General features: G+C 39.8%; 1 protein-coding gene across 10 annotated transcripts in view; it reads left to right on the top strand.

The window, feature by feature from the left end:
• REV3L (REV3 like, DNA directed polymerase zeta catalytic subunit) overlaps nt 1–26,757 on the top strand; it is a 184,679-nt gene that overhangs the window by 156,368 nt on the left and 1,554 nt on the right. For 8 of the 10 annotated variants that reach the window (NM_002912.5, NM_001286432.2, NM_001286431.2 and 5 more), the window contains 6 exons: nt 4,666–4,775; nt 11,963–12,077; nt 13,855–13,992; nt 16,085–16,275; nt 17,245–17,491; nt 19,774–19,983. In NM_002912.5, coding sequence (NP_002903.3) covers nt 4,666–4,775; nt 11,963–12,077; nt 13,855–13,992; nt 16,085–16,275; nt 17,245–17,491; nt 19,774–19,983 — 1,011 coding nt within the window. Of the gene's footprint in view, nt 1–4,665; nt 4,776–11,962; nt 12,078–13,854; nt 13,993–16,084; nt 16,276–17,244; nt 17,492–19,773; nt 19,984–26,757 lie in introns of those variants that run through there. The other 2 variants (XM_047419216.1, XM_047419215.1) reach the window with 2 other exon arrangements.

Here is a 26,757-nt window from a genome sequence, read left to right as displayed (position 1 = left end):
GGCTCAAGTGATTCTCCTGCCTTGGCAGGGATTACAGGTGTGAGCGACCATGCTTGTCCCAAATCCTTTCTTAGGGGCCATTTCCACATTTCCCTAATTTCTTCCCTGCCTCTCGGTTTTAAAAGTGTTTATTAATGTATTTTAGTAATAATGCAGAAATTATACTATTTTTAAAATATGTAAATACTGTAACTTTAGAATAACCAGAATTTGGTAGGATTTTTGAACTAGCAGTGGAAGTTTAGGAATAGGGTTTCACCAGGGAGTACGTTGCTGCTTTGCACGGTGAACTCAGACTGCCAAGCAGTACCTGCTTCCTTGACCCTGGTCTTCTCAGCTATCCTCAGATTAATGACTGCAAGCATGCATTTGACCCCTCATCATATGCTAACTTCGCAACAGTACAATGTTAACTTCTAGGTGAAATCATGAGTGGAAAAAGCAGCTAACATCACAGAAAGAGCCTCTCATGAATAAGTGAAAAGTTAGCACCAATAGAGTAAAAATGGAAGATATCAGCCACTTTTTTTTTTTTTAAAGGGCAGATGGCTTCATTCTTTTTTATGGCTGTATGATATTCCATTGTACACATAATATGGCATTTCCTTTATCCATTCACTCGTTGATGGACACTTAGGTTGTTTCCATATCTTGGCTATTGTGAATAGTGCTACAATAAATATGGGAGTGCAGATATCAATTCAATGTACCGATTTCCATTTTTTTTTTTGGGGGGGGTATATACCCAGCAGTGGGATATCTGGATCATATGGCAGTTCTATTTTTAGATTTTTGCAGCATCCTATATTGTTCTACATAGTGGCTCTACTAATTTACATTCCCACTACAGTGGGTTCCCCTTTCTCCACATCCTTGCCAGCATTCATTATTGCCTGTTTTTTGGATAAAAGCCATTTTAGCTGGGGTGAGAAGATATCTCATTATAATTTTGATTTGCATTTCTCTAATTAGTAATGTTAGTCATTTGTATGTCATCTTTTGAGAAATGTCTATTCAGACCTTTTGTGCATTTTTAATCGAATTATTTGTTTTTTTCCTACTGAGTTGTTTGAGTTCCTTACATATTCTGGTTATTAATCCCATGTTAGATGGGTAGTTTGCAAATAATTTCTCCCATTCTATGGGTTGTCTCTTCACTTTGTTGATTATTTCCTTTACTGTGCAGAAGCTTTTTAGCTTTATGTGATCCCATTTGTCCAGTAATCAGCCCTAAAAAAGAATAAAATCCCGTCATTTGCAAAACATGGATGGAACTGAAGGACATTATGCTAAGTGAAATAAGCCAGACAGAGAAAGACAAATATCACACATTCTCACTCTTATGGAAACTAAAAAAAATAAAGGAACTCATGGAGATAGAGAGTAGAATGATGGTTGCCAGAGGCAATGAGGTGGGGAGGGAGGGAGATAAAGTAGAAATGATTAATGAGTACAAAAATACAATTAGAATGAATAAAATATAGTATTTAGTAGCACAGTAACTATAGTGAACAGCAACTTATTGTATATTTTTAAATAACTAAAAGAATGGAATTGAAATGTCTAACACAAATAAATGATAAATGCTTGAGGTGATGGATATCCCAGTTACCCTGATTTGATCATTACACATTGTCTGCCTGTGTACATCATATGTACCGCATATACGTATATATACAACAGTTATGTATCCAGAATAATTAAAAGCTTTTAAAAGCGGGAGGCAAATGGATTACTGACTGTGGTCTCCTGCTTTCCTTCAGAGAACACACAATCAAAAAAGTACTAGATCTGGACTATCATAGAGAAAGATGAGACTTTGTAAGCATATAAGGAGAATATGGAGAATAAATAAATGTAGCTAATAGTTGTAGGTTAATGTCTCTGTCTCAGTACCATCATAGAGAAAGACAAGACTTGGTAAGCAAAAATTCCTATGAAGAGAATATGGAGAATAAAGTAGCTAATAGTGGAGGTTAATGTCTCTGTCTCAGTTGGACTTACTTCATAAATTAAAATTTTTATATGTTGACAGTTTTCTACTAAATTATTGGTCATTCATATTTATGATAAAGGTATATTTGTGCCTTTTAAAAAATTGTCTGAACTTTATTTCTTCCTTTTTATGTCTTTTCAGGGAATTAATTTTTACTTAAAACATTTGTTTTTATTAAGACTTTTGAGGCCAGGTGCAGTGGCTCACGCCTGTAATCCCAGCACTTTGGGAGGCCAAGGCGGGTGGATCACGAGGTCAGGAGACCAAGACCATCCTGGCTAATGCGGTGAAACCCCGTCTTTACTAAAAATACAAAAAATTAGCCGGGCGTAGTGGCGGGTGCCTGTAGTCCCAGCTACTTGGGAGGCTGAGGCAGGAGAATGGCGTGAACCCGGGAGGTAGAGGTTGCAGTGAGCCGAGATTGCGCCACTGTACTCCAGCCTGGGCGACAGAGTGAGACTCCATCTCAAAAAAAAAAAAAGACTTTTGAGCATCCCCAATCATGGCCTAAATTGTGAAACCATTTCTTTTCCTCTTTTAAATCCTCTCTTAGCCCTTTAATGAAGTAATGCTTTTCAGGTTAGGAACCTTGGCACAAAGTAGCAGAATCTGTTAATTTAATTACTTCTCCTTCCCTCTTCCGCCTCCCCCTCACTCTAGTGCTGCTGAATTCTTCTTATTATGTGGTCTTCAGGGGTAACTGCAGAGTTCTGACTCTTTGGGGTATAACTTAAATGCGCCAGAGTAAGAGCATTAGGCAGACATTTAAGACCACTATGTATATGTTCGAGTATATACTTGTAAGTATACATCTCAGAAGTATATTTGACTTTGACACTAAAATGGCTTGCTTATGCAGCTCTTTTTCCTCACATATTTAAAAGTTGACCTTGTTTGAAAGTGGCAGTAGGTAACAGAACATTTTATTCAATTTGAGTTTCCATTAGATAACATGATTTTTGTAATGTATTAAGTTACAGTTTACATTCTCAAGATTTTCTGATGTACTAGAGGTCTCAGCAGAATTCATAATCTTAATTTAAAACCTAAGGCCAGGCATGGTGGCTTACACCTGTAATTACAACACTTTGGGAGGCTGAGGCGGGTGGATCATTTGAGGCCAGGAGTTCCAGACCAGCCTGGCCATCATGGCAAAACCCTGTCTACTAAAAATACGAAAAATAGCTGGGCATGGTGGCACACTCCTGTAATCCCAGCTATTCGGGAGACTGAAGCACGAGAATTGCTTGAACCCAGGAGGCAGAGGTTGCAGTGAGCCAAGCTCACACCACTGCACTCCAGCCTGGGTGACAGAACGAGACTCTGTCTCAAAATAAGTAAATAAATCAGAATAAATAAATAAATAAATCCCAACTCGTTTCTACTACTAGTTTTATTATTTATTCCTTTGTTCATGTACTTAATATGTCCTTTGTAATGCAATTTTAAATAGCCTTTTAAATACTATTCAATCCTATATTTAGTAATTCAAATTTTACAGTAAAGGGAGAAGGATGATTATTGCTATTGTTTGCTTCTTAACAAAAAAAAATGTGCAGTTTGCGTTTTAAAATTGCAAAAGGAATGCTCCATTTATGTTTTATGTTGAATGGCAATTTTTCCCACTCTTAGCTTTAATGAGTTTAATAAATAAAACAGCATTGTTATATAGTCTCCTTAATTTACTTAACTGTAAAATCTCATTAGCATGCTTCTCATATTTGTCAAGGCCCAGCATCTTTTTGTTTTGTAAACTCATGCTGTGGTCACTGTTAAAATTCACTAATCACCAATGAGTAAAACCTTCCTAGATATATATCTACCTATTTAATTTAAATTGAACAGTTTTAATATATTTCCCATCATATAATTAGATACATTTTTCTTTGTATAACTAGTGACAAGATTGAAGTTCAGCATTAACTTTAATGATATTGAAAGACATTATCATCAACACTTCAACAGAAAAATTTTGAGAGATACACGTACATATACTCATGCACCCACAAAGAGTGCTTTTCTGCCTGATGAGTTGTAAGGGCACATAAGAAAGTTGAATAGGTCGGGCACGGTGGCTCACGCCTATAATCCCAGTACTTTGGGAGGCCGAGGTGGGTGGATCACGAAATCAGGAGTTCAAGACTAGCCTGGCCAATATGGTGAAACCCCATCTCTACTAAAAAATACAAAAATTCTCTGGGTGTGGTGGCGTGCGCCTATAGTCCCAGCTACTCAGGAGGCTGAGGCAGGAGAATCGCTTGAACCCAGGAGGCAGAGGTTGCAGTGAGCCAAGATTGTGCCACTGCACTCTAGCCTGGGTGACAGAGTGAGACTCCTCAAAAAAAAAAAAAAAGTTCTTGAATAAAGAAGGATTATTCTTCCAAGAATCCAACGTAGCTGAGTACCTTGTAACAAGTGCAGTCCACTTACTGTTATACTCAAAGACAAGTTTGTATATTGATTGGTTCTTTCAAATTCTTCACCTCAGTTTCTTCTTGAGTACTTGTAGAAAGAATGATGATACTGATGGCTATTTTGATTTCTTTTTTACGTTCTTTTCTCGTTTCATTTCTGGAAATATTTAGTAATTAAATGTATTATATGTTAAAGTCTGTTAACTTATACTGAGCTATGTTAAGAAATTATTTCCAATGTGTTTGTACCAACAGGTTGGCGATAGTATTGTTCACAAAGCCAGAGAGACCTTGGAACGAGCTATTAAACTGGTGAATGATACCAAGAAATGGGGGGCTAGGGTTGTATATGGCGATACTGACAGGTAATGGGTTTTTGGTTTTGTAGTTGTCTTTTGCATCTCTCTAGATCTTCATTTCAGTGTTTAAAATGGCTTAAGGGAATCTTTTCTAAAAACAGAGTTCTGTCTGAGTCCTTTCCAGTCCTTACGATCTCATGATCAGAGTTAACACAGATCCTGATTTACCAGATAGGATCGTAAGAGACAGTTTGTGTCCTGAGCCACAAACTGAAGATACCTATGGCTTCCCTCCAGGTAGCTCTAAGCCAAGTAGATAGTGATCTGTAAACTAACTGTGTACACAGGAGTCTAGTTTATTTAAAGAAACTACTTTTAATGTGAATAATTCCTCTAATATAGCTGTAACTCTCTGAATTTAAGTGTATATCTTAAAATAAACTGTTTTTGAAGGACAATTGCCAGAACTGTGAATGGTTAACTTACCACTCGGCCCCAGAATATGTTGACCTTCTAAGAGAAGTGCATATAGGCAAATACAGTTTTCCATTTGATTCCAGAGGGTCCACAGACTTCCTCAAGCCTATTATTTATGGATTGGCAAATAATGTGCCTGCATTTGAAGGCACGTTATTAATAATGTAAGTTATTAACACCAGCTTGCATGCTTCCTGCTTGCTGTGATATTTTTCAGGTTTCAGTTATTTATGTAACATCTTTTTTGCATGGCTTATTGAAATTCTTCTAGAATGTAGGCACTATTCAAATTTCTTACAGTGAAATTTTTTCCATATTGGGGACGTAGAGTCACAGTGTGATCATGCTAAGAGCACTTGCTTCAAGACCTCTGATCTCTTTACAGTCCAACAGAGCAATAGGAGATAATGCTTCTGATCATTAAATAGCTTATAAGTAATCTTTGAACAGCATTTAATCTTATCCAGTTCTTTAAAATGTTCATACAGACAGCATAATCATATTAATGCTGAATGAGACCTTGCCTTATAGAGCAGCTGTTTCATTACCAGCCGGTGGGGATAGTTTCAAATTATCCAGGCCCTAATTATCCATATTCTCTCCTGTTGCTCATCAAAAGCCACTTCTTAGTTTGGCTTTGGTTATTTTATTGTTCTATGAAACTACTTCTGCTGGGTATTCCAGCAAAATAAGAGTTACTAAAATAAGTTCTCCACTTGTTAGCAGAACTCCTTAAAAAATATTTAGGGAAAAATGTTAATCCTTTAACTTACTGATTTTAATTCAGGGGCTATCCATGTTGTTGACAACACCCAGAAGTCAGCATGATTCTGATTGTAGTTATATTATTTACCCTTTAAGATCTGTAAGAAGTCAAGCTACAAAAAATAATAGACTCACAGAATGTCAGAGCCGGAAGGGATTTTGATATTATTTAGGCCAGCAGTTTTCATACTTGGGGAGAGCTTAGAATGTGCCTCAAGTGATGCTTATTAAGAACAAATTTCCCTAGGATAAGAAATTTAAGATCTTGCAACTAGTCAGTAAAGAGCCATAAATTGATATTCAGTGTTTTGATTCCTAGCTGATGCTTTCTCTCTACATCAGATTTTATAGTTATTATATGATTCCAGTCAAAGGAAATTTACTTGCAATGTCATTAAAACTTTTGATCACCATTCACTACCTGATACATTCAACAAACATTGGCCAGGCGTGCTGCCTCATACTTGAAATCCTAGCACTTTGGGAGGCCAAGGCAGGTGGATTGCTTGAGCCCAGAAGTTTTAAGACCAGCTTGGGCAACAAAGTGCAACCCTGTCTCTACAAAAAATTTAAAAATTAGCCGGACATGGTGGTGTGCACCTGTACTCCTAGCTGCTTGGGAGGCTGTGAGGTGGGAAGATCGCTTGAACCCAGGAGTTCAAGGCTGTAGTCAACCATGATCATGCCACTGCACTCCAGCCTGGATGACAGAATGAGACCCTGTCTCAAAAACAAGAAACCCAAACGTTTAGTGACATCTGTATGAGAGCAATTCACAACAGTGTCACCCTGGCAGAATACAAGTAAGTTCTTGAAGGAGGACACAAAAAAGTCAGTACCATAGTTTTTGGCCCCACAGTGCCCAGACCTACCCAACAATATTTTACTTCTTAGTAATTACTTTGCCTTGTTAAATATAATTTAAATTTGTGTTTTTTTTTCCTTGGAAGGACAATAATGATAAAAGGTTGAGAAACACTGCTCTTGGGATAATAGGTAATGCCTGGTGGAGTGAAAAAGAGTTCCTGGCTGGGCGCAGTGGCTCATGCCTGTAATCCCAGCACTTTGGGAGGCCAAGGCAGGCAGATCACCTGAGGTCAGGAGTTCGAGACCAGCCTGACCATATGGAGAACGCCATCTCTACTAAAAATACAAAATTAGCTGGGCGTGATGGCGCATGCCTGTAATCCCAGTTACTTGGGAGGCTGAGGCAGGAGAATAGCTAGAACCCGGGAGGCAGAGGTTGCAGTGAGCCAAGATTGCGCCATTGCACTCCAGCCTGGGCAACAAGAGCGAAACTCCATCTCAAAAAAAAAAGGCCAGGTGCAGTGGCTCACACCTGTAATCCCTGCACTTTGGGAGGCCGAGGCAGGTGGATCACTAAAAATTAAAAAAATTAGCTGGGTGTGGTGGTGCATGCCTATAATCCCAGCTACTCAGGAGGCTGAGGCAGGAGAATCACTTGAACGCAGGAATTGGAGGTTGCAGTGAGCCAAAATCGCGCCACTGCACTCCAGCCTGGGCAACAAGAGCAAAACTCCATCTCAGAGAAAAAAAAAAAAAGGAGTTCCCAACTGAGAGTGAGGAGACCTGGATTCTCTTTCTAGCTATACTCCTAGATGATGGCATAACCATTAATAAGTCATTTTGCCTCTCTGAGGCTTAGTTGCCTCATCATCAAAATGAAGGAAATCTGATAGACGAAGGTAAATGACCTTCCAATTATGATGACATTCCAATTAAACGTTTAGTTATTTTTAAATGTACAATAAGTTATCGTTGACTGTAATCTCTCTGCTGTGCTATCAAATACTAGGTCTTATTCTAACTACATTTTTGTACCCATTAACCATCTCCACTTCCCCACACATACACAGTACCTTTCCCAGCCGTGGCAACCTAGCAGAAACTTTTTTTTTTTTTTCCTGAGACAGAATCTCGCTCTGCCGCCCAGGCTGGAGTCCAGTGCAGTGGCGCAATCTCAGCTCACTGCATGCTCTGCCTCCCAGGTTCACGCCATTCTCCTGCCTCAGCCTCCTGAGTAGCTGGGACTACAGGCATGCGCCACCATGCCCAGCTAATTTTTGTATTTTTAGTAGAGATGGGGTTTCACTATGTTGGCCAGGCTGGTCTTGAACTCCTGACCTCGTGATCCACCCACCTTGGCCTCCCAAAGTGCTGGGATTACAGGCATGAGCCACCGCACCCAGCCAATAATAACTTTTAAGATGTAAAGTATATGTACCTTTATTTCTTTATCATTTTTATGGAATTATAATTTTTAACAACATGTATAGTATGTAATAAAATATTAAAATATATAGGCCCAAGTTACCAGCTATCATGCCCGTCAAGATATAGAACACTTTTTATCACCCTAAAAAGTTATCTTATTCTCCCTTTACAGTGAATCCCTCGCCCTCACTCCATGCCCTAGACAACCACTTATCTGATTTTTATTACTGTAGCTTAGTTTTGCCTATTATAAAACCGTACAGAAATATGTGTATGTGCACTTATTTTAAATGTTGCATACGGCCGGGCGCGGTGGCTCATGCCTGTAATCCCAGCACTTTGGGCAGATCACCTGAGGTCGGGAGTTCGAGACCAGCCTGACCAACATGGAGAAACCCCGTCTCTACTAAAAATACAAAATTAGCCGGGCGTGGTCGTGCATGCCTGTAATCCCAGCTACTCGGGAAGCTGAGGCAGGAGAATCGCTTGACTTGGGAGGCAGAGGTTGCGGTGAGCTGAGATCACGCCATTGCACTCCAGCCTGGGCAACAAGAGCAAAACTCCATCTCAAAAAACAAACAAAAAAAATGTTGCATTCATCATTGCATCTGAACATTTTAAGAATAATCTTTCATAAAAAGTTGGCAGTTGCACATGAAGTTCAACATACACTTAGCATATGACCCAGTGATTCCACTCCTTTATGCTTATCTTAGAAAAAAGAAAACCTGGCCGGGCACGGTCACACCTGTAATCCTAGCACTTTGGGAGGTTCAGGCGGGCAGATGGAGACCATCCTGGCTAACACGGTGAAACCCCGTCTCTACTAAAAATACAGGCGGGCAGATGGAGACCATCCTGGCTAACACGGTGAAACCCCGTCTCTACTAAAAATACAAAAAATTAGCCGGGCGTGGTGGTAGGCCCCTGTAGTCCCAGCTACTCAGGAGGCTGAGGCAGGAGAATGGCGTGAACTCAGGAGTTGGAGCTTGCAGTGAGCCGAGATCGCGCCACTGCACCCCAGCCTGGGTGACAGAGCAAGACTCCGTCTCAAAAAAAAAAAAGAAAAAAGAAAAAGGAAAACCTATGTCCACACAAAAACTTGTGTATGATTCTTCATTGGAGCTTTGTTCGTAATAGTCCAAAACTGCAAAATATCTAAACGTCTATCAGTGAGTGATTGGACAAGCAAATTGTGGTATATCCATACAGTGGAATACTGCTCAACAATGGAAACCAACCAGTTGCTGTTATTCTGACACCATGGATGAATCTCAAAATATGCTGAGTGAAAGAAGACAGATATAAAAGAGTACATACTATATAGTTTCATTTATATAAAATTTTTATTTATTTACTTAGAGACAGGGTCTAACTATATTGCCCAGGCCATCTCAAACTCCTGGCCTCAAGCAGTCCTCCACTTCAGCCTCCAGAGTTGCTGGGATTACAGGCAAAAGCTACTGTACCCAGCTCATTTATATAAAATTCTTGGAAAAAACCTATATAACAGAAAGCAAGTCTTATGTATTGAACCTGGGGCCAGGAATAGACTGAAAAATTATTGTGAAGGAGTACAAGGAGGTTGAGGCGCAGTGAGCCATGATTATGCCACTGCACTCCAGCCTCGGTAACAGAGTGAGACCCTGCCTCTTAAATAAAATAAAGTAAGGTAGTATTGGTATAAATGAGCATCAGATGGCCTATAAAGAAACTAAAAAAAACCTTCAGATGGTTCGAAGTATAGCCTAGATTGAAGGTCTAATTAACTAAGGCATTTTTATTCTACCTTAGTGAATGTTAAAATTAATTCAGATTGAGACAATATTTATTTTAAAGACTTTTAGTAGAGTTGAATAAACTACTTTTTTCCTTTCTTTTAATTTTTCATATTAGGCTGTCAGGCAAGTACTGTCTCCATTATTAGCAGGGACTTTTTCCAAAGAAACCATCCAAAATGGGATTTAAAAATCCAGTATAAAAACACTTCAGAAATATGAGATTGGTTTATATGGCTAGAAAAAAGAATCTTAAAGTCATGTTTCAAGATATCATCCATTTCCACTATTTAATGTCTTTTCACTAGAAATATAAGTGAAGATGAACTTTATAATCTATCTTACTTAAATATTTATTAACCATTACTTCTGTTGGTGGTCAGGTTGTAGAATATACTGAAATAGAAAAAAAGATGCCCAATGCATTTTATCAGTTATTTTTGAGTATATTTTGTATTGGTATTTTGAGTATATTTTATATTGGTGTTTTTTATTCATGTAATTCAATATTATTCATTACCAAGTAACATGATCCATTATAGCATATGAAAAGATTTACAGATATACACAAAGTGTTTGTAATGTCTTTTTTGTATATGATATGATTACAGATGTTGATTTTCTTCCGTGTGTCTTTTTATGTTTTCTAACTATTTTTCAGTTAACATACATTACAGAATATATGTCTGTCTTTTTTTTTTCTTTTTTTTTTTTGAGACGGAGTCTTGCTCTGTCACCCAGACTGGAGTGCAATGGCGCAATCTCAGCTCACTGTAACCTCTGCCTCCTGGGTTCAAGCGATTCTCCCACCTCAGCCTCCCAAGTAACTGGGACTACAGGCACACGCCACCTCCCCTGGCTAATTTTTGTATTTTTTTAGTAGAGACGGGATTTTGCCATGTTGGCCAGGCTGGTCTCAAAATCCTGACCTCAGGTGATACACCCGCCTCAGCCTCCCAAAGTGCTGGGATTACAGGTGTGAGCCACCGCACCCAGCCAATGTCTTTCTTTTTTAAGTTGAGTGATTCTAGCCTTAAGGGAACTTCTCCCATATCACAAGTACATCTTCCATTTTCTTATAATCATATAGTCTCTTATTTTGTGATGTACTTAACTGTGTACCACAGTGGTCCCCAACCTTTTTTTTTTTTTTTTAGATGGAGTCCTAAGCTGCAGTGCAGTAGTATAATCTCAGTTCACTGCAACCTCTGCCTCCCAGGCTCAAGCGATTCTCCTGCCTCAGCCTCCCAAGTTGCTGGGATTATAGGCACATGCCACCAGGCCTGGCTAATTTTTATATTTTAGTAGGGATGGGGTTTCACCATGTTGGTCAGACTGGTCTCAAACTCCTGACCTCAGATGATCCACCGCCTTGGCCTCCCAAAATGCTGGGATTATAGGCGTGAGCCACTGTGCCTGGACCACAGCAGTCCCCAACCTTTTTAGCACCAGGGATCGGTTTCATGGAAGACAATTTTTCCGCAGACCAGGTGGTTTGGAGATGAAACTATTCCACCTCAGATCATCAAGCATTAGATTCTCATAAGGTGCACACAACCTAGATCCTTCACTTGTGCGCAGTTCACAATAGGGTTCATGCTCCTATGAGAATCTAATGCTGCCACTGATCTGACTGATCTGCCACTGATCACAGACTGACTGGTATCAGTCTGTAGCCTTGGGGTTAGTGACCCCTTGTGTACCATACAAAGCCTTAAATGTCCAGGGATGATCCAGGACTTTCTTGACTACTGGGATATCTGAGCTGATCTGTGTGTTAGAAATATTGGATGTCTTAAAAGATTTGTAACAAGATATAAGTACATAAGGAAAGTAATAAAACAGGAGAGCTTACATAGAAAGCATCTTAAAGAGTAAATAGGAGAAAGGGAGTTTTCTTTGGCATTAGACAAGAGTCATAGCCAGGAAAGTTACTCTTGATAAAATTTTTGTTATAATGACTTCCTCATTACCTTACTTTATTTTTAATCCCCTTAGTATGTTTGTGCTACTGAAAGGAGCCACTAAGGAGCAGTCTTTTAAGATTGGTCAGGAAATTGCCGAAGCTGTAACTGCTACCAATCCTAAACCAGTGAAATTGAAGTTTGAAAAGGTAAGAGGAATGTAATATTAGTAATTACATATAAAATTCATATACCTTCTAGAGACCTCTGATTTGTTCAGTACATTTTCAGAATCACTAACAGTATACGGGTCTATTAAAGTGTTAAATTTGGGTCACTGGCTCATGTCTGTAATCCTGGCACTTCGGGAGGCCAAAGCAGGAGGGTTGCTTGAGACCAGGAGTTTGAGATCAGCCTGGACAACATAGCCAGACCCCATCTCTACAAAAATTAAAAAGTTAACCAGGCATAGTGGCACACGCCTGTAGTCCCAGCTGTTCCAGAGGCTGAAGTAGGAGGACCACTTGAGCCCAGGTATTCAAGGTTACAGTGAACTGTGATTGACCGGTGCACTCCAGCCTGGGGAACAAAGTAAGACCCTGTCTCTAAAAAAAAAAAAAAAAAAAGTATTTAAATATTTTCTCTTTTGTATAATTTTCTCAAAATTTGTTTAGTAATGTATATATGTAAGGAAATGAAAACTTTGTTCCAGTAACTATTATTGTGTAACAGATCACCCCAAACTTAATGGTGTAAAACAGCCAGCATTTCATTCTGCTCACAGATTTTCTGGCTCAGGAATGCAGACAGGGTGCAACTGGAATGGCTTTTCTCTGCTGCACGATGTCTAGTTCCTCAGCTGAGAAGACTGTTAGGGGTTAGGGGTAACCCAACCAGCAGCTAAGGGTTGAAACCATCTGAAGCTTGCTTACCATCATGTCTGGTGGTTGATGCTGGCTACTAGTTGGAACATCAGCCAGAACACCTACCAGTGGCCTTTCACCGGGGCTGCTTGTTCTCCCTCACAACATGAGGGTTGGGTTCTAGGTGTGAACATCCCAAAGAAACACAAAAGCTGCTTTGTTTTGTATGACCCAGGCTCAAAGTAACACAGTGTCCCACGCCTCTCTAGATTTAAAGGGAGTGAACTTAGACCCCACTATTAATAGGAAGAATGTCAAAGTCACATTGTAAGAAGACCATGTAGGATGGAAGATATATTCTTTCTTTGCAAAACAAAGTCTACCACAAGGACTTTGAACTCTTTTTCACTTACCTTTAGATATCAAATATGTATTTCTTTCTTTCTGTATAAAAGATACTTAGCCTAGGAACTGTGTGGAATACGAAGAAGCATAAGACACAGTCCTGCCCTCTAAGAGCCAGTAATCTAAAAGGAAAGGTTAGGAATGTATATAAGCAGTCTCTTGTTGTAAACATAACGGAAAGCAAGATGAGAATAGCCCGCTTAAACACTGTGAGAGCACAAAGGAAAGGAGGAATTGCGTCCTCCTGGGCTGGATAGGGAGACTCCATATAGGAAGTAACAATGAACTATGTCTTGAAAAATTGTTAGAATTTCAGTAGGCAGACATGGGGCTGCAATCATTCTGCACAGAAGAAAATGGCATGTATGGAATTGGAAAAGGACAGTATGGAAATACGGGGAAGCAGGAGATAGATCCGGAAAAATAAAGTTGAGACCAGACTGTAGACTGTCTTGAATGCCAAGCTAAAGTGTTTATACTTTATTCAGTAAATAAACAAAACTGGTAGCGCAAGAAAAGGAGTGAGCAAGTGGTAACAACTTAAAGACAATTCATTTTGCTCCCACGTGTTATATCATGAATTTGTTGGGCCCAAAGTCATATATAGAATTTTTTAAATAATTGATACTTGATTAAAGAAAGCACAAAGACATAAAAATAAAACATTCTTGGTGGGGGGAAATGGTTTTTAAGAGGCATTTTATTAATTTTACCACAGGTATATTTGCCCTGTGTTTTACAAACAAAAAAGAGGTATGTGGGTTACATGTATGAAACACTGGATCAGAAGGACCCAGTATTTGATGCAAAAGGAATAGAAACAGTCAGAAGAGATTCCTGCCCTGCTGTTTCTAAGGTAAGGTTTATCTATCTTGTCTTCATCTGTAAGAAATAAGTGGCTAAAGTGTCTGGTGAAAATGTAACTACCCTTAAACATGCATCTAGGTGAAGGAACTATAGCCTATATAATTAATATAACTATAGGAGTAACTACATGAATTTTGAGAATTTTATTTGTAGTGTCTTATTTTGTTTTTGTTTGTTTGAGACAGGGTCTCACTTTGTCACCCAGGCTGGAGTGCAGTAGTCCAATCCTGGCTCACTGCAGCCTTGACCTCCTGAGCTCAAGCAATCTTTCTGCCTCAGCCTCCTGAGTAGCTAGAATTTTATTTCTAATAAAAACAATTTATTTGATTTTAGTCCTTAAGTTTCTGACTTCCTCCCATACCTTACGTTTTATCAAAAATTACTAAAAAGCAATACATGAGAGTTTCCTGCCTATTGCCTGGAGATCATATATGTCATAGTGTAACAACTCCTGAAAGCAGAGCAGGATAAACAAGACAAACAGACCCGGTGTGGTGGCTCACGCCTGTAATCCCAGCACTTTGGGAGGCCAAGGCAGGCAGATCACTTGAGATCAGGAGTTCGAGACCAGCCTGGCCAACGTAGTGAAACCCCATCTCTACTAGAAATACAAAAATTATCTGGGTGTGGTGGCGCATGCCTGTAATCCCAGCTACTCGGGAGACTGAGGTGTGAGAATCACTTGAACCCGGGAGGAGGAGGCTGCAGACAGCCAAGATCACAACACTGCACTCAGCCTGGGCAAGAGAGTGAGACTCCATCAAAATAAAAAGAGAGAAACATAATCCATTCCAGATTAACTGAACTTTCATTTATTTGGATTATCAAATACAAATTAGGAAGATTTCCAAACAATTAGCTATAAATTACTCAAATTTCTCAACCATAATAACCCTGATATTTTTTGGCTTTTTCTTTATTCGGGCCTAGACTCCTTCTATAGCAAAACAAAAATAAATGGTATAAATGGGAATAGCATTCTATATACTGTTTGATGAGAGCATTAAAAGCATAGTGGATTGAATATTATCAATATATTATGTCATATATATAATATTATGTGAATTTGGGATTTTTTTCAGCACTATTTCTGGAAGAGATATAATCCAGTACCTTCTTTCTCTGTAGGCAGAATTGTACTCAAGCTAAATTAATAAGCTTATTGTATAAATATCCATTGGTTCCAGTATTCAGAATAAGACACAGAGCTTTCACCTAGAACTAACTTAATCTACTTGGCCGGGCACGGTGGCTCACGCCTATAATCCCAGCACTTTGGGAGGCCGAGGCGGGCGGATCATGAGGTCAGGAGATCGAGACCATCCTGGCTAACACGGTGAAACCCCATCTCTACTAAAACAAAAAATTAGCCGGGCGTGGTGGCACACGCCTGTAGTCCCAGCTACTCGGGAGGCTGAGGCAGGAGAGTCGCTTGAACCCGGGAGGCAGAGGTTGCAGTGAGCCGAGATCACGCCATTGCACTCCAGCCTGAGCGACAGAGCAAGACTCCGTCTCAAAAAAAAAAAAAAAATTAATCTTACATAAATCCACTGCATGCTGGTTATTTCCTAGTAGAAATTTCCAACACAGAAAATTCTGTCATAGTTATTTATCAACATTTTTATAAAAAGTCAAAAAGGCTGATTTTGATTTGACTGCCTGGTGATCTTTAAACTTCTCTGTGTTTCCTGTGACTGAATCAGGACCCTTTCTATACTGGTAAATAAAAAAACAATACATGAAATCGTGTCTGGTTTCTTGTACCTAGAGGCTTTGACTATTAAAAAAAAAAAACTTAACGTGTTTTATGTTGCTTATCACATGACAAATGTTAATTTGCATGTCATTCCACATGGTTTTCCTTAAACTACATGATATTCTATTTTTAGAAATAGCAAGCTCTCTAAAGTCTCAAATAACTTTCAATTTTTAATAATTTTATTATCCCATCATTGTAAGTAACAGATTATTTAGGTAGGTTAGCAGGTTACCCAGTAGTTACATAATTGAAAGTGTAATAACAATGGTGAAACATACTAGGAGATATTTTATCTTTACTTGCATATCTTTTTTGTTTTAAGATACTTGAGCGTTCTCTAAAGCTGCTATTTGAAACGAGAGATATAAGTCTAATTAAACAGTATGTTCAGCGACAATGTATGAAGCTTCTGGAAGGAAAGGCCAGCATACAAGACTTTATCTTTGCCAAGGAATACAGAGGAAGTTTTTCTTATAAACCAGGAGCTTGTGTGCCAGCCCTTGAACTTACAAGGTAATGATACCCTCAGTACCTTGCCAGGATAGTCCTGAGATTCTGCACAGGTCTAGAAGACCCAAATGAAAAGACAGTCCATAGACACAGACACAAAATTGTTTCTTTACCTGCGCACATGAAGCCTCACTGAAAGTTAGTGAATATTCCCTCATACTTCGTAAGATGTGAAGAGGAAATCCTCTTTTGGGCTTTCCTTCAGAAACTTATGCAAAGAAATTGTGACACAGTCCTTGATTCATTTGTTTTTCCCACATCAAAATCACTAGGTAGTCCTTAATATTGTTCTACCAAAGCATTTAGATGGTATCATTCTGGAATCAGATAGTTTAACCAGGTAAATTTTCTCTTATCTTTCATGATAGATTTAATGATAGTTAGTTCTCATTCTTAGGGGATAAAATACATCTTTTTCCTGCCCCTGGAGGCAGGGTCTCACTCTGTCGCCCAGACTGGAAAGCAGTGGTGCAATCACAGCTCACTGCAGCCTTGACCTCCCAGGCTCAAGCGAACCTCCCACATCAGCCTCCCAAGTAGCTGGGATAACAGGTGTGCACCATTATGGTGGCTAATTTTTTTGTGGAGATGGGGGTCTCGCTATGTTGCCCAAGCTGGTCTCAAACTCCTGGGCTCAGGTGATCCTTGGCCTCCCAAAGTGCTGGAATTACAGGCATGAGCCACCACTCCCACCTAAAATACATCTTAAGCTAGTTGATATCTGCCAACTCATTATTTTCCAGGTAACAGTGATTTACAGAGTAATTTTTAAACTCTTGTAGGATATCTACACTTGGTGTCAACTAAGCAAAATGTATATATATTATTCTCAAAGAAATAGTAATTCTGTTTTGAAATTGTCTTTTGTAGTTTTTTCATTGTTTTATTATTGTTTAATTCTGACTTAATTTGTGAGAAAGATGGCTTCCATAACAGTATTTGGGTGTGGTTTTTTTCTTTGAATTCGAATAGGAAAATGCTGACTTATGACCGGCGCTCTGAGCCTCAGGTTGGGGAGCGAGTGCCATACGTCATCATTTATGGGACCCCCGGAGTACCACTTATCCAGCTTGTAAGGCGCCCAGTGGAAGTCCTGCAGGACCCAACTCTGAGACTGAATGCTACTTACTATATTACCAAGCAAATCCTTCCACCCTTGGCAAGAATCTTCTCACTTATTGGTATTGATGTCTTCAGCTGGTATCATGAATTACCAAGGGTAAGCTTACCAAATAGTACATGTGCTCTAACTATGGAGAGATTTCACTCCAAATTTTCAGTAGAACTAAAGGTTTTATGTGCTATTGATATGGGAGTGCTGGGAAGGGAAGAGTGTGGTCCCGTAAAATGATACGGAAAGCGGGAGGGGAAGTGCTGGGTAGAGAAAGGTGGGTCCCTGGCTAGGGCTCCACCCCCACAGATCTAGGTGAGGATAGGCACTCCTGCTTTCATGCCCAAATGTTACCATTTTCCAAGACCACCTTGGCCTGCCATGCCCCAATCCTGGGCCTATAAAAACCCGAGACCCTAGTGGGCAGACACACGAGCGGCTGGACATTGTGAGGAACACTTCGGTGGAAGACCCAAGCAGCTGGTCGTCAAGAGGAGCACGCCAGCAGAACAGCACACCGAGAGGCACTGGCATGCTGGCAGGCCATTGACCGGCAGGACAAGGTGGAGTTTGGCCAGGGCAGTCAGAGAAGAGACGGGGCCACCTAGAAGCCCAACTCCAGGGGAAAACCATCTCCCTGCTGATTCCACCATCAGATGAGAGCTACTTCCACTCAATAAAACGTTGCACTCATTCTCCTAGCCCACGGGTGATCGGATTCTTCTGGTACACCAAGGCAAGAACCCGGAATACAGAAAGCCCTCCATCCTTGAGACAAGCTAGAGGGTCTAATTGAGCTGGTTAACACAAGCCGCCTATAGACAGCAAACTAAAAGAATACCCTGTAACACACACCCACTGGGGCTTCAGCTGTAAACATTCACCCCTAGACACTGCCATGGGGCCAGAGCTCCACAACCTGCCCGTCTGTGTGCTCCCCTAGAGGTTTGAGCAGCGGGGCACTGAAGAAGCGAGCCATTGTCCCTCTCGCACACCCTGCAAGGGGAACAAGGGAACCTTTCCTGTTTCACTGTGAGAGCAAAGCAGATCCTCTGTCCTAAACTGGCAAAGATGCCATGCTCTCCTGGTTTCCTAAAAGATAAACGTTTTAAGTATTCTACAAACACATTCCTAGCTTCTATCAAGTTGGCCAAATTATAGAAATATTAAAATAAATCCCACAACAATTTCAATGGTAGCCGCAAATAACGTAGAATAAGCCAGTTAATAGAAAATAAATGTACAGCAAAAATTCCTTCGAAATGAATGTCTAAGAAAGGTGTAGGATTTAGTATCTAGACACACTAGACACAGCCCTGAAGAAACCAGAGTAAAGAATTACTGCAATGGTAAAATAGCATTATAGTTGTTCCCCAACTTATGATGGTTCAACTTAAGATTTTTCTACTTAACGATGGTGCGAAAATGATATGCCTTCTGTAGAAACCGTAGTTCAAGTACCCATACAACCATTCTGTTTTTCATTTTTGGTACAGTATTCAATAAATTCCATGAGATATTCAACACTTTATTATAAAATAGGCTTTGTGTTAGATGATCTTGCCCACCTATATGTTACTAAGTGTTCTGAGCACATATCCTGGCTCTAAGGCAGGAAACTCAGATTCTTTATTACTAATGTTCATTTCATCATCGGCAAGAATGTTAACCCAATGACATTTGTAAGAGGCTAACCTAATAACTTTTTTACAAAGGGATTTATTGCGGCACTATTCACAATAGCAAAGACTTGGAACCAACCCAAATGTCCATCAATGATAGACTGGATTAAGAAAATGTGGCACATATACACCATGGAATACTATGCAGCCATAAAAAAGGATGAGTTCATGTCCTTTGCAGGGACATGGATGAAGCTGGAAACCATCATTCTCAGCAAACTATCACAAGGACAGAAAACCAAACACCGCCTGTTCTCACTCATAGGTGGGAATTGAACAACAAGAACACTTGGACACAGGGCGGGGAACATCACACACCAGGGCCTGTCGGGGGGTGGGGAGCTGGGGGAGGGATAGCATTAGGAGAAATACCTAATGTAAATGATGAGTTGATGGGTGCAGCAAACCAACATGGCACATGTATACATATGTAACAAACCTGCACATACCCTAGAACTTAAATTATAATAATAAAAAAAAAATGTATCTGATAATATTAAGATGTAAGTTCCATGAAGGCAAGGACTTCATTCATTTCTGTAGCTCCAGTGTCTGGAACAGTGCCTGGCACATAGTAGCTACTCAACATTTGTTGAATGAGTGAATGAACGAATGAATGAATGCCTGAGTAAACCTGTAATTAGCATGAAAATAGCAGCTTTGCTGTGAAGCTGACTCAGGCTTACTTCTGAATGGATGTTTTTATAGATCCATAAAGCTACCAGCTCCTCGCGAAGTGAACCTGAAGGGCGGAAAGGCACTATTTCACAATATTTTACTACCTTACACTGTCCTGTGTGTGATGACCTAACTCAGCATGGCATCTGTAGTAAATGTCGGAGCCAACCTCAGCATGTTGCAGTCATCCTCAACCAAGAAATCCGGGAGTTGGAACGTCAACAGGAGCAACTTGTAAAGGTACAGTTTTGTTCCATGGGCCCAGAATCACAAGCAGTCTGATCTTACAGGAAGATATAGTCACTCTTGAATTATAGTGTGAGATACAAAACTGGTGTGAAAAGTGAAATGAAGAGTCTAAATGATAAACTTCCTAAAAATCTCAAAAATATCATAAACTATTAATAATGGTTTGTTTTATAATTTATTTTTTGTTTTTTTTATGGAATAGTGTGTTGTGTTTCTTAATAGCTACAACAAGAATGGCCATCCATCCAATTTCTTTTATAATACAGGTTGAGCATCCCTAATTGAGAAAAATCAAAATTCAAAATGCTCCAAAACTGAAAGTTTTTGAGCACCAACGTGACTCTCAAAGGGAATGCTCATGAGAGCATTTCAGAGTTCAGATTTTCAGATTAATGATACTCAACCAGTAAGTATAATGCACTTATTCCAAAATCTGAAAAAATTTGAAATCTGAAACACTTCTGGTCTTAAGCGTTTCAAATAAGGGATACTCAATCTACAGTATTAAAAAGAAGAAAGGAAAAGTCTCAATTGCTCTACTAGTGCTTACCATTCTTTAAAGAAAAATACCTAGTTGTCTTAGAGAATTGCTTGCTAGTAAACTTGGAAGGTTTATAATTCTGTGAGTCCAGGTAGATGATTAATGGCATGATTGAGTCATACTGTGTGCCACAGACTGTTCTAGGCACCTTTACAGGTGAGTAAACTGATACAGAGAGTTTAAGTGATTTGCATGTTACACTGCTAAGTGGCCGAGCTGGGATATAGACATAAAATGCAAGGATGATTTTTCAAGTATGAGAATTCTAGCAGAAATAAACAACAAACATCTCAAAGTAAGTTGAAGAATGAAATCTAAAGAAAAATTTGCCACCTCGCACCCCCCAATAAAATCATTACTCCTTATTGTTGATAAGTCATCTCCGTTCTGTCCCTACCTGCTATCCCTCTGTCACGATTTCTTGCTCTTCTCTGTCACACTCTACCTCGACCCATACCATATTGAACTTCTCTTAGGTCTGTGAATGCCCCTCGCCGCCTCCTCCTGGCCTTTAAACACCCTGCTCCTTCTGCCAGGAACACTTTCCTCTACCTATCCCACCCCACCCCCCATCTTCTGAGGAATCAGCTGAAACCTCTGGACTGGGTGAAGCCTTCCTTGCAGTAGGCTCCTGCCATAATCTCCTCTGCTTTACTGTGATTTGGGGTTTGTCTGTCTTCCTCACTAAATAGCAAATGAACCAGTGAGGACAGAGGCCCAGTTCTTTGACTGTCAAGTCAGTTATGCCTAGCATATAGCCAAGCCCATGGGGCTGGTCTGTAAATATTTATTGAATAAATGAACAAGTTCCTGGTTAATGCATGATTAAAGAAGGAATATATCACTGGAGTTATTACCAACCAACTTTCAGCCATTTTTTACCAGTTTTGTGGTTCTAGTCAGTACAACCACTGAAGTCACTGGGTGCTCCCAGCTTCTATTTATTTAATAGACTTCTGTCCTGATGGCAGCAGCCAACTCTCATAGAAAATTCCCTTGCTGGATCCTAGTATGACGCCTAAATGAGAGCAGGACCTCCAGGGCTCTGCTAAGGTCAGGCTGTTAAATGGTCCTTTCCTAGACTTTCTTATGTTTTTTCTGCACTCAATGACAAACACATCACTACTTGGTGCCATCAATTTACCCAGAGCCCATCCTCCTTCAACATTAGGTGTTCATTCTTTTTTTCTTTTTATTTATTTATTTTTATTTTATTTTATTTTTGAGGTAGGGTCTCACTTTGTCACCCAGACTGAAATGCAGTGGCATGATTACAGCTCATTGCAGCCTCAACCTCCTGGGCTCAAGTGATCCTCTCAGCTCAGCCTCCCATGTAGCTGGGACTACAGGCATATCCCACCATGTTTTACTAATTATTTTTTTTTAGACATCGGGTCTCACTATGTTGCCCAGGCTGGTCTCAAACTGTTGGACTCAAGCAATCCTCCCACTTCAGCTGCCTAAGGGCTGGGATTACAGGCATGAACCATGATGCCCGGCCATCTTATTTCTTATAAAAATACAGTTTAAAAGAAAGTGATGCCACAGCCATAAAAAAAGAATAAAATCGGCCGGGCGTGGTGGCTCATGCCTACAAATCCCAGCACTTTCGGAGGCCGAGGCGGGCGGATCACGTGAGGTCGGGAGTTCGAGACCAGCCTGACCAATATGGAGAAATTCCATCTCTACTAAAAATACAAAATTAGCCAGGCGTGGTGGCACATGCCTGTAATCCCAGCTACTCAGGAGGCTGAGGCAGGAGAATCGCTTGAACCTGGGAGGCAGAGGTTGCAGTGAGCTGAGATTGCAGCATTGCACTCCAGCCTGGGGAACAAGAGCGAAACTCTGTCTCAAAAAAAAAAAAAAAAGAACAAAGAACAAAATCATGTCCTTTGTAACAACATGGATGCAGCTGGGGCTATTATCCTAAGCAAATTAACGCAGAAACAGAAAACCAAATACTGCATGTTCTCACATATAATGAACATTGGGTACTCATGGACATAAAGATGGGAATGATGAACACTAGGGATTCCAAAAGGGGGGTGAGGAGAGGAAAAGTTGAAAAACCACCTGTCAGATACTACATTTACTGCATGGGCAACAGGATCATTAGAAGCTCAAACCTCAACATCATACAGTATACCCATGTAACAAACCTACATGTATACCCTTGGATCGAAAAAAAAAAAAAAAAGAAAAAGCGATGCTATTTATAAATAATGATGGTTTGTCATCTTTCAAGAGCTATTTTAATTTGAGGTGTTTTTCAAGAACGTTCAAATGAATGTCTCCCATACACTAATTTGTAGAAATTTTTAATGAAGCAGAAATTACTAGAGATGTAATGAGAATTAGAAACACATCCAAACAGGAGATTTTACATCATTCTCAATCCAAGACCAATCAAGTGATCAGAAATAAGTGAAATTATGGAAATTGTAAACATTATAAGTCAGACCTTGTGATTATATATCAAACTCTGTAACCCAGTACCAAAAAATGTACTTCTTAAGTGTTTCTAGAATGTTTTAAATGTCTCCCATGCACTAATTTGTAGAAATTTTTAATGAAGCAGAAATTACTAGAGATGTAATGAGAATTAGAAACACATCCAAACAGGAGATTTTACATCATTCTCAATCCAAGACCAATCAAGTGATCAGAAATAAGTGAAATTATGGAAATTGTAAACATTATAAGTCAGACCTTGTGATTATATATCAAACTCTGTAACCCAGTACCAAAAAATATACTTCTTAAGTGTTTCTAGAATGTTTTAAAAATATCTGGCCAGGTGTGGTGACTCATGCCTGTAATCCCAACACTTTGGGAGGCCAAGGCAGGTAGATCACCTGGGGTCAGGAGTTTGAAACGTTTGGCCAACATGGAGAAACCCCAGCTCTACTAAAAAATACAAAAATTAGCCAGGCATGGTGGCATGAGCCTTGTACTCCCAACTACTCAGGAGGCTGAGGCAGGAAAATCACTTGAACCCAGGAGGCAGAGGCTGCAGTGAGCCGAGATCACACCACTGAACTCCAGCCTGGGTGACAGAGCAAGACTCCATCTTAAAAAAAAAAAAAAAAAAAAAAAAAAAAAAAAAAAAGTCATAGTCTGTTAAAAAAAAAAAAAAAAAGCCTCGGCTGGGGATCATGGCTCACGCCTATAATCCCAGCACTTTGGGAGGCTGAGGCAGGAGGATCACTTGAGGGCAGGAGTTTGAGACCAGCCTGGCCAACATGGCAAAACCCCATCTCTACTAAAAATACAAAAATTAGCAGGGTATGGTGGCAGGCACCTATAATCCCAGCTACTTGGGAGGCTGAGGTAGGACAATCGCTTGAGCCAGGGAGGCAGAGGTTACAGTGAGCTGAGATTGTGCCACTGCACTCCAGCCTGGGCAACAGAGTGAGACTCCATTTCAAAAATAATAAATTAAAAATAAAATAATAAAAATTAAAATTTAAAATTAGCCAGGCATGGTGGCGGGCACCCGCAATCCCAGCTACTAAGGAGGCTGAGGCAGGAGAATCACTTGAACCTAGGAGGCAGAGGTTGCAGTGAACTGAGATCATGCCACTGCACTCCAGCCTGGGCAACAGAATGAGACGCTCTCTCTCATCTCAAAAAAAAAAAAAAAAAGAAAGAAAAGAAAGCCTCAGTACATTTCAAAAAGTAGAAATATTACAAATGAATGTAATACAATGCTATAAAATGGTAATTAATTACAAACTAAAAAAAAAAGTGATCCTTCCACTTGTAAATTCTGTTAAACAAAATGAAAACACTGCAAATCAGATTCTAGATGGCAGACCTCAGAGAAAAATTCATCACCTTAACACTGTTAATCATAAACATGAAAGAATGAAAGCAAATGAAGCAAGCATCTGACTGAAAAATTTTTTTTGAGACGGAGTCTCACTGTTGCCCAGGCTGGAGTGTAGTTGGTGCAATCTTGGCTCACTGCAACCTCTGCCTTCCAGGTTCAAGCAATTCTCCTGCCTCAGCCTCCCGAGTAGCTGGGATTACAGGCATGCACCACCACGCCCAGCTAATTTTCGTATTTTTAGTGGAGACAGTTTCACCATGTTGGCCAGGTGGTCTCAAACTCCTGACCTCAGGTGATCCACCTGCCTCTGCCTCCCAGAGTACTAGGATTACAGGCATGAGCCACTGTGCCCAGCCTTGACTAAATTTTTTTTGAACAAGAAAGCCAAAGGATAGTAAAAAGAATAAAGATTAAAGCAGATATTTTTTAAGTGCCTGCCTCCCTATGTGCTACAAAGTAGATGTCCGGGTTGGGGCACTAAAGTTTTAAATGTAAGCCTGAATCAAGCTATAATGCTCAGGGTTTAAACCAGTAAAGGATCTTGAAACTAAACACTGAGTTAAATTTAGTGAGTCAAGTAATTCCATCCTGGCTTATTTATCAGACAAGCACAGAAAGAGCTTAAATATTTATCAGTTTGTCCTGGCACCTGAATGTAACTGCAATTCATAGAGCTGTAATACAGAAATTCTATATTTGGGAATAGATTTGAGTCTCTTGGCAGAGATCTAATTAGCAAAGGCTTCATCATAGAACAGCATACTCAGTCTTCATGGAGCATACTGAAGCACATGTTTGTAAGCAGTCTGCTTGTGACAATATCATAATATTGGATACAGTAACCAGTCTACTTAGAAAAAGTGTGCCCTTCGGTTAACTGGAAGATAACTGGGGCAAAGAACAAAACTTCACTGGCCTGTGAGCCATCTCTGAAACTGAAACCCTTTGATAAATATAGATCAAAGAATTCACTAGAGCGTATTTGATTTCTCTTAAAAGACAATCCAGAGTAGTTGTTGCCATTTGGTATGGCTTTTTTAAAATCACTTGTCTACACTATTCAGGTGAAAGTCGGCCTGCATTTTCTTAACCTTTGGAGTCTTCATTGGCATCCTTTTTAATTTTTTTATGTTCTTCATGTTTTATAACCTTTTTTTTAACTATATATGCAACTTGAGACTTTAAAGTATTTTTAAAAATTGATCATTGTGTAAAACATTATAGTGCTTCTCTTTTTAAAAATTGCCTTATGATTTATTATTTTCCTTAAGATCAGATCTTATTATACATCCAAATCATCTGGGAAGCCTTAAGAAGTACAGATTCTTAGGCTTTCATGCCTGGAGATTCTGACTCATTATGGGTCTGGGATGGGGCACTTGTTTATTTTTAAGCTCATTGTTAGCCAGGGTTAAGAACCACTGGTCTGCACCACTACTTTCAAATTCACATTATTTGATTTTTTTTTTTTTTGAAATTTTACAGCTGGGTCTCTGGGGGTGACATCACATGTTGGCAGGTTCCTTGATGCCCCTTGAGCCACAAAACCAGCAAGTTTTTATTAGGGGTTTCAAAAGGGGAGGGGTGTACGAATAGGGAGTGGGTCACATGCTTCAAAGGCAGTAAAATATCACAACAGCAAAGAGGCAGAGTGAGATCACAAGGCCAGGGTGAAACTAGAATTACTGATGAAGGTCCATGTCGTGCTGGGCACACATTGTCATTGATAAACATCTTAACAGGAAACAGGGTTCGTGATCAGACAACCAGTCTGACTAGAATTCGCCAGGCTGGAATTTCCTAATCCTAGCAAGCCTGGGGGTGCTGCAGGAGGCCAGGGCATATTTCATCCCGTGTCTACAACTGCATAAGACAGACACTCCCAGAGTGGCCATTTTAGAGACCTACCCCTGAGAATGCATTCGTTTTCCCGGGGTTATTCCTTGCTGAGAAAAGAATTCAGCGATATTTCTCCTATTCGCTTTCTGAAAGAAGAGAAATATGACTCTGTTCTGCCAGGCCCTGCAGGCAGTCAGATTTTATGGTTATCTCCCTTATTCCCTGCAAATCGCTGTTATCCTGTTCTTTTCAAGGTGCTCAGATTTCATATTGTTCAAACACACATGCTTTACAAACAATTTGTGCAGATAACGCAATCACCACAGGGTCCTGAGGCGATATACATCCTCAGCTTACGGAGATGACGGAATTAAAAGATTAAAGACAGGCATAGGAAATTATAAGAGTATTGATTGGGGAAGTGATAAATGTTCATGAAATCTTCACAATTCATGTTCAGAGATTGCAGTAAAGACAGGCATAAGAAATTATGAAAGTATTAATTTGGGGAACTAACAAATGTCCATGAAATCTTCACAATTTATGTTTTTCT

The sequence above is a fragment of the Homo sapiens genome, chromosome 6, assembly GCF_000001405.40.
Source record: "Homo sapiens chromosome 6, GRCh38.p14 Primary Assembly".
In the NCBI taxonomy this organism is placed as follows: domain Eukaryota; kingdom Metazoa; phylum Chordata; class Mammalia; order Primates; family Hominidae; genus Homo; species Homo sapiens.
Note: the sequence above shows the minus strand (reverse complement) of the source record. Positions and strands in the feature narration are given on the sequence as shown.